Source organism: Homo sapiens, chromosome 6 (genome assembly GCF_000001405.40).
Source record: "Homo sapiens chromosome 6, GRCh38.p14 Primary Assembly".
Lineage (NCBI taxonomy): Eukaryota > Metazoa > Chordata > Mammalia > Primates > Hominidae > Homo > Homo sapiens.
Genome location: NC_000006.12, coordinates 53050270 through 53062103, shown reverse-complemented (window position 1 = coordinate 53062103; position 11834 = coordinate 53050270). Strand labels below are relative to the sequence as shown.

At 41.9% G+C, this 11834-nt stretch overlaps 1 protein-coding gene across 9 annotated transcripts in view; it reads left to right on the top strand.

Moving 5' to 3' along the window:
- Positions 280–11834, top strand: part of CILK1 (ciliogenesis associated kinase 1) — a 60522-nt gene continuing 48967 nt past the window's right edge. For 4 of the 9 annotated variants that reach the window (NR_164684.1, NM_014920.5, NM_001375397.1 and 1 more), the window contains exon 1: positions 280–508. The gene's annotated coding sequence lies outside the window, so the exon portion shown is untranslated. Of the gene's footprint in view, positions 1169–11834 lie in introns of all 9 variants that reach the window. The other 5 variants (NM_001375401.1, NM_001375399.1, NM_016513.5 and 2 more) reach the window with 4 other exon arrangements.

Below are 11834 nucleotides of genomic sequence, written 5' to 3'. Positions count from 1 at the left end.
CCATCGACAGCCTCCATTTCTAAGTCTTGATGGTTGATCGAGCCGATCTGCAACGAGGCGTTCGTTCGGAGTCGGAGATCGCCTTGCGGTCAGCGGGGGTTAGGGGTCCCTGGGCGCTGTGCTGCCCTCGGCCCAGAGCTGCGCCTGGCGGCTCGGCCGCGCGAGCCAGGGCGAACAGGACGCAGTGCAGGGACGCGCAGGGCCAGCGAGGGGAGCTGCAGGGTAACTTTTCCCAGGGAAAGCGGCCGGTCGTCCCCAGTAGAAGCCACCCAGCCTTTTGTTTGTTTTCCTGCCGGAGGCTGGAAAACGGCCGGGTTCCTGCTGCACTACCATGCGCCGTGCGGCCCGTGCGACTCGCCGGACCTCGCGGGCGTCCCTGTACGGAGCCCTCGGCCGGTCCTAGCAGGGATTGTCCCCATTTCCAGCTCCGGAGCGGGCGGCTGCGCCCCGCTCGTCGAGGAGCTGCGCTCACCTCAGGGGCGGGCCCCCGCCTGCGTTCGCGGCGCCAGTAAGTGGGGCTCCGGGATTTAGGGGCTTCTGCCGGGCGACCTGTCACTGTAGTAGCTGCTGGGATGGGGCGGCGGGGAGACCCCTGGCCGTGGCCCCGCGACGGATCGGAGGCGCAGGAAGAGGCTAATGGGTTATAGTTTCTTTCCGCGATCCTGTGGATCTCTCCTTCCTGGTATGAAAACTCGGAGCCTGGAGGATTTTGACGGGTGTTTATCTTTTAGTCTTAAGGAGGGGGAAGACCCTAGCTAATTTGAAGCCTCGTTGCGGGGCACGTTGAGGACTTGCTTTCGGAATTTCCCTGACTAGGCCCTTGGCTGTCCCACAAGGGGTCTGAGCAAAAATCCTCGAGTACTTATTTGCAACCATTTTTTACTGGATTTCTTTCTGTTCTGATTTCTTTCTTACTAATCTGAGTAGCTGTTATGAGAAGGATATTGACGGATATTCCAGAACAACTGATTCTTTTGTAATGTTAACCTTTTAAAGTTTGACTTTGACACTAACATTAAGGACTTATATGTAATATAGCTAATGCATCATTCTGCAGAGAAGAGTATTCCTTTCCACTTACAACTAAATAAGACCTGCTTTTGCTGGAGCTGTGCTAGGCTGAGGGAATTCCACACTGAATTTTACAAGCGGGATGGATTTCTCTAAGGTATGGGCGCTTGTGGGGTTTGAATTTTTTTGTTTGTTTGTTTGGCCGGTAGAACTCTTTGTAGTAACAGAAGTTTGATAGTTACAGTTTTCATTTCTCACATTTCCCAGTGAGTGGAGTTTCAGGGTGTGCTTCAATAGTGAATGGCACCATTGCCGAATATAAAGTTTAAATGAGCTTTAAATTTCTGTAGTCAACATATAAATTATTAAGAAGAATTTGTGTCTCAATCATTTGCTGAACTGTGCTGGGAGTTAATATATGCATAAATATGCACATTTAAAATAGTTTCTGAACAATGCGCTACAATTTGGTAAAGACTCTTTAAGGCTTTCCTGTCTACTTGAGGACCAGGACTTGTAAAACACTAGAAGTAGATGTAGAAAGGAAAGCAGTACTGGGATCCTTTATTTAAAATGACATCCGGTACCATTCCCCATTCTCTAAGTGACTCTGCCCACTTTTTATTTCTCCCTTTCTGCTTTGCCTTATCCCCTTCTCCAAAGTCAAAACTGGTGGCCAGGCAGCAGGGAGGCCGTCACATTTCCTAATGAAACCAATCTAGGTTCAGATGGTGGAGGGGTGTGCTGGAGGGTTATTGGAGCCTGTCTGATTAGGTAGACCCCTGCTGTCCTTGCCAAGGGAACTCAGCATTTAATCACAAAGAAAAGGCCTTTTCACTGAAGTTTCTTCTCCACAGACTAAGTGTAAATGAACTACTAGGATATCAAACAAGCCATTTAGCAGTTTTATTTATTGACTGTTCAACATCATCAGAGCCCTTTTTATACTTTATTGTTTGTTATTCTCATTGCTTTTTGAGGTTCCTAGTACAGTGGAAATTATGTTAATCTTGAAACATTGGAATTATCTTTAACCATCTTTTCCTTCATTTCCTTCATCCTCTGTATCAATGAGTCATCAAGACCTTTGAAATATGTTTTATATGGATCCCTCCTTCTATATTCTAATCTAGTCCTCACTCTTCCACTCCTGCAGTACTGCAACAGCCTCCCAAGCCTGACTCTTAGTAAGCTCTCATTAAATGGTTGCTGAATGAATGAATGAATGAGAAGCATCCCTCTGGTCTTTTCAGTGTTCTATTGCCTGTCTAATCTTTAAAATGATCACTTCATCATATCTATTCTGGACGTGCAACCTTCAGTTTCTCTCCATTATGTACTATCTCAAGTCTAAAATAATATGCCTGACTTCTCAAGGCCTATCATAATCAGCCTTTCCCTTCCTATCTAAAATCCTCTTTTCATTTCAGCATGCATCTCTGCACTCTAAGCAGTCTGGTCTTCTTGCTGTCCTGCTAATGGTGCCAGGCTTCTTGCCACTGCAGTGTCACTGCTCATAGTGCTTTCCCTAGAAACTACCTCCCTTCTCTTTACTCTCCTGTGCGACTCCTACCTGTCCTCAGAGGAGCCTAAGTCTACTTCTCTTATAATATTTCCTCTTTCTATTTCTCAAGATACTTGCTTGTTAGCCCTTCATTATACTGGCTGTATTGATCTCCAATTGGTTTAGGTTAGTTTAAGCCTCTTTAGGGCCGGAGCCATATGTTATGCATGGTAATGTGGTATTGTGGGCTTTGAAGTACAGCAGAATTGGGGCAAGGGCCTGACTCCACTTATTAGTTGTGTGGCCTTCTGTAATTCTCCTACTATTAATCTCATGTGCAAAATAGGGAAAATGCTCCCCCCCAGTTTCACCCCCGAGTTGTGGTGTGAAGATGGTCTATAGTGCCTACCCATAACTGGCATATACATGATAAAGGTCTGCTTATCCCTTGACAGTAACTTAACAGAGTCCAATTCCTGAACACTCAGCCTGGAGGCCTAGAGAACCAGGGTAACCATGCAGTGAATCCTTAGTAAGTATTATCCTGCCCTTACTTAAAATGGCTTGAGCTTAGGTTATTCCTGGCTGCAGCTCTGCTTCTGGGATCTGTTGCTGTTTTTCCATCTGAACCTTGCCAGGAACACTACTGCTTAATTTTTTTTTTTTATACTGCTCCTCTTGCAGCAGTCTCCTCCATTTCATTTTGTAGGATCTTGCAGAGTTGGAGTGGTACCTAGCCGTTCTATTGATGTCTGCCCTTATAAAATGCATTTTTCTGCTTGTGGGATCTATGTGAGTGTGTGTATTTGCCTGGTGGTTCCTTGGGAGAATTCTGGATATAATGACCTCTCTGTGTATGTTGATCTGAAAGCCTGTGAATAGTATCTCATTTAACTGTTGTCTTTCACCTGTGGTCTTTGATGACTGTGGCTTTCTGAGAAGGGCCTATGTTTAGAGTATTAGAACTCTCCTATCTGTGAACCTCAGTGTTTATGGTTGATGTGGTTGAATCAGGGAGAATGCGCAAACAGAGGTGTGTGTGTGCCGGATGACTTATACACGTTTTGGGATTACAGTGTAATTGTGTCTTAGTTTGTGGTTGTGCTTACCTTTGAAATACAGTTTTAACTTCCTTATAAAAGCACATGTGTTCTAGAAAATTACCTAGTAAAAAGAATTTGGTGAAACAAATCATTTTCTGGGGCAAATTGCATTAAAATGCTAAGGAAATGTTGTGGCAGGAAGAAAATCAGAGATGCCTTTGATTGCAGCCAAAGAAGTAAAAGCAGCAGCTCAGGCCTACCTCAAGGTGGTAACCAAGGTTGATATGGGCATCTTCATTCAATCTGTCTGCTCCTAGTTAACTGCTGTCCAATATTAGGAAAAACTACTACTCAACAGGTTTTAGGGAAACACTCAACCCAAACAGAAGGCTTCTATTCCTGATTTTCTTCCAAGGAAACTGAACTATCTTTGCACATTAAGTACCTGACTCTCTGTGCTTTGAAAGTTGAAGTCTTCCTGGGTAGGAAGAGTGTCTTGTCGTGGGACTTACCTGAGCAGGCTGAAATCAAATCCAACATATGTTGACATGTGAAGTCATGTTTGAGTTTGAGGATAGCACATCTTCAAACATCTGCTCCCCCCTTTTTTTAAACTATATGGGCTCAGGATTAGCAAAATATTCATATGCTTTTTACCAAGGAGCACGTGGGGAACATTTGATACATCTTTAGTTGGCTATAAAACATGTATTATACTCACACATTTCAAAATATTCTACTCTGAAGATAGCAAGTATTCTGTTCTTCTTAGTTGGATCTCATCTGTAGAGTGAGAATGTCAAGTGATCATTAAGGTCCTTTACAGAAAAAAAAAATTCTTAACTCTATTGTCTGAAGTTTGTTCAACATTAGGCTTTGAACATAGTTCCTAATGAATTTAGCATTCAAATCTATGTTAATTAGCATTCAGTTATATTTTATCTTTAAATAAGCTCATCATGGCTGCTATAAAAGATAATGCCTCTGAACCAAAAGATAAAGTATTATAAGTGTGATGTCCAACTATATTTGACAATATCATGAAAGTAACTATCTGCGTGAACTTGTAGTTCCTAGCAGATGATTGTCATCCTAACTCACTTTTTTTGAAATGAAAGGGCCACAATAGTGCCTTGCTTTTCATTTGGTGCTTTTCCCACCATGTCAAGAACCCTTAGTAGCCACTTAATAAATGTATAACGATGGCCCAGAGCTTATGAGAACCACACGTTTTTTTAGGAGAGATCAGTGTGAGTTATTTTTTACCTTTCTATAGGTGAAGCATGACCTGTGATAAAGTATTGATAACATGTGACTGCTCTTTTGACTACCATAAAAGATAATGCCTGAGAACCGGAAAGGAAAGTACTATTGTATAATGCCCAAATACGTATTTGGCAATATCATGAAAGTTACTATCTGCATGAACTTGTGGTTCCCAAAAGATAGTTATTAATGGTTTTGCCCTCTTGGACATTGCCTTTGCTTTGAAAGAGAATTTACTAGAGAATGATTTAACTAAGACAAAGGGGAGTAAGAAAAATGTAAGATATACATGCCTTCATGTGATCTTAGCTGTTGAAAAGCAAGTTTTTTCCTAAATTAGTGTAAAAGTTTTTAGAAGGAGTCATAATTTTGGTACCCTAGTCCCAGTACAGTTGTCCAGTTTGCAAAGAAGTGGGGCGTGACGGGATGACAGTGAGGGTGGACGTGGTAGTATAGGAAAATCATCTATGGTCAGGATTGCCTTTTAAAGCTCCATAAGTTGTTCATTCATTAGTTAATTCATTGAACATGTCTTTATTGTGAGTCCGTACTTGTGCCAACTATGCCAGTTCTCTGGGAACTGAGTACTGGGAATACAGTTGTGAATATTGCAACGTTTCTGACCTCACAGAGCTTATATTCTAAGGTTAAACACAGCTTGTATGTAGCCCTGTAACCTAGGGGTAAGTGAGGGCTCTATGGAGAGTACTAAAGTGCTTCTGCTTATTTGGGGGATTTCCTCATCTTCAGGGCTTGACAAACTATGGCTTGTGTGCCAGTCCTTCCTGCTGCCTGTTTTTGTAAATAAATTTGTACTGGAACACAGCCATGCCCATGTATTTACATATTGTCTTTGACTGCTTTCATGCTACAATGGCAGAGTGGAGTTGTGACGGAGATGGAGAGCCTGCAAAGCCTATCCTGTTTACTGACCCTTCACAGAAAAAACGTGCTTATCCCTGCCCTATTTTATTTTTACATTAAGCCTTTACTTCCTTTAATTCATTTTGATTTTTTGTATACATGCTAGCAAAGCATCTTACACTGAGATCAGCTCCTTAGTCAAATGTGTTGTAATAGCATATAAATACTGATAACATGTGGCTGTCCTTGTAACTACCGTAAAAGATAATGCGTTAGAACCAGAAAGGTAAAGTATTATTGTGTAACGTCCAGCTACTTATTTGCCAGTATCATGAAAGTTACTATCTACATGAACTTGTGATATGCTCTTAGTCACTCCCCTATCTTCACTATCCCTTATCTTGCCCACCCCTGAAACACAGGCAAGCAGGACTATTGCCACCCTCGGCAGTTTTCATTAAGCTGGGGACTCTCGTTCTAGCTCATCTACAGTTTCACACATGGCAGGGTAAAGGTTTGTTTTTCTGGCTGTTTTTTTATTTTTTATTTTTTTTAACATTTCGCCTTTACTTCAGTTCTTTACAGTCCACCAAAGCCAACTATGTGTCCTAGTTTAAAAATCATCTGCAAGTGATTGAAGAACTTTTTTAAGGTTCAAGGCGTGAGCACCTTTTATATTGTAAGAGAAGCGACAGGGAGTTATGGAAGCTTCTCATGGGATTAAGGACCTAGTGCAGGACGAGTTCTTTTTTCAGAAGCTGGGATTGAAAGAGGAGAGGGATGGTAAAGGTATGAAGAAGTTTCTGGGGCACAGAAGAAGGCACATCATGTAACGGATTATCTTCTCTTGTTAACATCCAGTTGATGCAATAGCTGAATGCATCTTTAATTCACTCCTCTGTCAAGGTAAAGACAAAGCAAGATCCATGTAAAGAAGGTCCTTTTGGCTTTGTAACTGCTATTCCTTATGCAGAAAAAAAGCAGTAGTCCAAGAGGCAAAATGCTTAAAAGGTTTGCTTGCTAAAATGTACAGAGGCAGAAGAATTAGGTCCAGGAGAAAAACATAAACCCGGATATACTATTTCTAGTACCTTTTTAAAAGAAATTAACAGTATTCACTGACTTTTGTAAAGTTAGGACACATTCAAACCTAGAATACGAAGTCTAATTATAAACCTGTAAAGGTAAAATGGAACTCAGAATTACCATGAGAAGGGTCATCTAATGATTTTGCATATAATCCACTTTTCCTAGGAGGATAAATGAAAGTAACAGAATCTTTTCAATGTAAGATAATTAATGCAAAGGGAGACAAGCTCCTTCTAAGGAACTGAATGGTGTCAGTGGGCCTGGTAAACCACAACTCCCAGAGAACCCCAAGTTTGCTGTAACTTTTTGTCTCCTGTCTTAGAAAATGTGTAATGATGGCATTAATTCATTGATTAAGGTTTCAAAATAAAGAATGAACTACAATTTTCCCTGCCCCTCGCCTCCATTTTTTAGGCTGTGAATGAGCAAGGCACCTGATGTGAGCTGCTGGCCATGAGCAAATGTTCTTTGCCTCCACCGAGGATTGACGCTGAGGGGAGGGAATTGGGGCAAATCACAGGAAGCTTTTCCCCAATGTCACCTAGCCAGGAACATCATAACATTGACTTCAAAGGTTTGCTGGAACTCTTTGAAAGAGAGATAAAGCTGTCTTTCTTTGGTAGTTGAGTACAGCCTTACCCAAAGGCCAAAGGCCTGATCTGACCGCATGGAGGGGGACTTTCTGTGATCCTCTGAGACTCAGTCATCTTGGCATTGTTGTGGGAGGGCCCAGGCTGCCTGCCTGCCCCAGCTATTCTGTGGTATTCACTGTTCTTCCACTTCAGAACTTCAGAACTTTTAGTTGGGCCCAACAGTTTATCTTTGTTTTGTGTATGACAAAATAGAAGCACTGAGAATTTTGAGGTACTTAGCCAAGGTGGTACAGAAAATAATAGCAAAGACTAAAACTCACATTTGGGCCCTTCAAACAATCTTTGAGGACTTGCTACTGCAAGTGGAGTGAGAAGACAAAGATGAAGCAGTCTTGGAGAGTGTCGAGGCTGAAGCAGAGGGTACACCTGCAGGTCATTGCCACGGGGAAGGGGCTGGCAGTGAGGTGAGGACAAGGCACTATGGCATCAAGGGAGAGGACCATTCTCGGGTCTATATGTGTAGGTTGGGGCAGGAGGCTTGGAAGAGGTGACATGTGAGCTCGAAAGAGAAGGAATCGATGTTTAATGTTTACTGGGGCCTGGCTGAGGCACTGGGGCACTTGTGCATCTCTTGAAAGAAAGGTGTGTAGCATACAGGGTCCTTCGGTGGCACTGTCTTCTCCGCTAACCTTTGTTCATGTGATGCAAAAAGCAGAAACATTTATCCTTTTTTTTTTCTTAGACAAATGCTAGCTCAATTCCTGATACAGAGTCACAGAATCACACAGCTTTAGAGGAAGAAACCACCTTAGAGCAAGTCCCATGCCCTAATTCCACCAAAAGTAAACTCAAGGACCAAGAGATGCCCCGAGGCACAGCAGATCAGTGCTGAGTGGAAACTGGAACCAGTCCCTCACTTTGCCTCCACTGTGGGCATGTTGGTGCTGCCAATGGCTCCAGAGGATTCGCTGATATTTGATTGCAGAATGAAGACAATTAGAACATAGCCATATCATTCATTTTCATATTTGGGCTTTGAGATACAAAGTACTACTTCTGTTCCTGTCATTTTCAGATCCTCCAAAGATTTCATGATCTTTTGAAAGCTTTCCCTTAAGTTTGGTACAGTCAGCCTGGGTTCCTGTCTCATTTCTGCCACATTAGTCGTATAATCTAGACATGTAACTTGTGTCTCAGTTTCCTTCTCTGTAAAATAGGGATAATTGTAATAGTACCTGCCTGGTAGAATTATGAGGGTTAAATGTACTAATATATGCATAAGCACTTATAATAGTACTATGCACATACTAAGTACTAAAATTATCATGTTTTGGGCATATTTGATATATGAGGGTGCTAAGTGTAGATTCGTTGTAGTGAATGATTTATCCAAGTTAATTCTTGGAGTCAAAGCAGAATTTAGAAATACTGCGAGTTAGAAATACATGCTAATTCTCAAGGTAATGGACAGGCTGCTACATTCCATTCACTTCTCAAGCAGTGTTAACTATCTGTACCAGAAGCTGAATTTAAATGCTGTCAGGGCAGAGGAGGAAAATAAAAGACTCAAGGAAGCTGGGTGTGTGCTTGTCAAACAGTAAGAAATTGCTCTTCTCTTCTAAAAAAGAACAATTTTTCTTCTCTTCCAATTTTTCTTTAAGTATAAGGTTTTTTTTTTTTTCAGGCTTTTACTTTGTCACTTTTGTTATAGGCATAGGAACAGAGAAATATTTTTCATCCAGTAAAACAAGTGGCTATGAAGGCACACAAAAAAATGACAGCTAAAAAAAAAAAATGGCAAGTGGCAACAGGCAAAAAATGGGGACTGTGGTGAGCTGCAGAGCACACGCCCAGCCTGAAGAGGTACGGACATTTCTTCCACTTCTTATTACCGTGAAGGGCTAAGGACCCCAGGTGGTTAGACCTTCAGTGTTTCCAGAGAAGCTCCAAATAGGGATTTATATAGGAAATTCCCTATTTTTTATTTATTGATTTTTTTTTTTTTGAGACAGAATCTCACTCTGTCCCAGGGTGGAGTACAGTGGTGCGATCTCTGCTCACTGCAACCTCCGCCTCCTGGGTTCAAGCAATTCTCCTGCCTCAGCCTTCTGAGTAACTGGGATTACAGGCATACACCACCACGCCTGGTTAATTTTTGTATTTTTAGTAGAGACAGGGTTTCACCATGTTGGCCAGGCTGATCTCGAACTCCTGACCTTGTGATCTGCTGCCCTTGGCCTCCCAAAGTGTTGGGATTACAGGTGTGAGCCACTGTGCCCTGCCGAAATTCCCTATTTTTAAATCTGGGATTCAGCCCCCAGAGTGCCAGTGTGCCATCTCTGGTCTACACAGCATGGAATCTCCATATGCTAATGTCATATACTCAGAGATTTCAGGCTAGAATTGTCAAGTCTTGTTCACTATGCAAAGTTAGAAGTATGCTTGGATAAAGAAAATGTACATATACACCATGGAATACTTTGCCGCTATAAAATGGTATGAGATCATGTCCTTTGCAGGGACATGGATGAAGCTGGAAGCCATCATCCTCAGCAAACTAACACAGGAACAGAAAACCAAACACTGCATGTTCTCACTCATAAGCAGGAGTTGAACAATGAGAATACATGGACACAGGGAGGGGAACAACACACACCAGGGCCTGTTGTGGGGTAGGTGGGACGAGGGGAGGGAACTTACAGGACGGGTCAATAGGTGCAGCAAACCTCCATGGCATACGTATACCTATGTAACAAACCTGCACATTCTGCACATGAATTCCGGAACTTAAAGTAAAATAAAAGAGATAAGTACATTCTATATTTTAAAACAGAATGTCCTTGTTCGCTGGGTAAGTAAGCACAGATTTCTGATTTCATTTCTAAAACACCCAACTTTGAATGAATAACACTGCTGCTGTGTAATTTAGATGATTGTATAAGTCTTTGGGATGTTTTGCTAGGGAGTGATAGGCTAAATAATAGCCTGCAAAGATACCAGGTTCTAATCCTTGGAACCTGTGAGTGTTACTTTATATGACACAATGGACCTTGCAGATGTGATTGAATCAAAAAATCGGAAATGGAGAGATTATCCTGCAGTATCTTGGTAGGCCTTAAATGAAAACACAAGTCCTTATAAGCTAGAGACAGAGGAAGATTTAAAAACAGAAGACAAGAAAATGTGATCATAGAGGCAGAGACTGGGGTGATGTGGTCACAAGCCAAGGAGTGCTTGCAACCACCAGAAGCTGGAAGAGACAAAGAATGGATTCCCTCTAGAGCCTCTGGAGGAAGTGCCAGCACCTTTGCTTCAACTCAGGAATACTGGTTTCAGACTTCTGACCTCCAGAAACCTGAGAGAATAAATTTCTGCTATTTTCAGCCACCAACTTTGTGAAAATTTTTGGAGCAGCTGTGGGAAATTAATATAACTGACAAGGAAAACTTTGTATAGTTTAAAAAATTTTTTTTGTTATTTATACCTGGATTAAAATATGGATAAGTGACATGTCCTTAACAAGAAAAATTAGCTGTAGTTTAGAAATTGGTGGCCCAGAGCCTTCCTTGAGATTCCTAGCCAGTGATCCACAAAGTGACTCCTTCCTTGTGCACTGGTAGCACTCTCATCTCCACTCCATGTAGGAACTTAATCCAGTGTCCATGTCTTCTGGTCATTTGTGTATTTCCCACCTCTCCAACTGCGTGAGAAGTCCCCAGAGGCCAGATCTGCCACCCACAGCTCTGTGGATCTTATATCTCAGTACTGAACGTAGGGCCTTATAGTTAATTTTTCACTTGAGTGATGCTTTGTTGACACTTAAGTGTCTTAAGCGTATTTCAGATATTGCTGTATATCAAAAATGCATATTTATATGCTTTTTTAAATTAAAAAAAATTTTTTTTTGAGACAGGGTCTCGCTCTGTTGCCCAGGCTGGAGTGCAGTGGTGTGACCTAGGCTCACTGCAACCTCCGCCTCCCAGACTCCAGCAATCCTCCCACCTCAGCCCCATAAGTAGCTAGGACTAACTACAGGAATGCACCACCAAGCCCAGCTAATTTTTGTATTTTGTAGAGATGGGGTTTTGCCCTGTTGCCCAGGCTGGTCTTGAACTCCTGGACTTAAGCAACATGCTCACCTGGGCCTCCCAAAGTGCTAGGATTACAGGTGTGAGCGACCACGCCCAGCCTATATAATTTTATAAAATAAATATGTCACATATTTACATATATACTTATATATAATGTATTTATAATATATGAATATTATATGTATGTGAAATGTGTATATATATATACACACACACACACAAATGCAAGTAAACCTCACAACCATAGAAAAGATAATAGTTGGCTTCTTTTTTTTAACAAATTGTAAAGAACCCAGCAGTAGAAACGGTCTTCTACTTGTGGAGTGAGGTCTCAATGGAGTGACTTACGGGTGAAATATTATGCTGCCAGTAT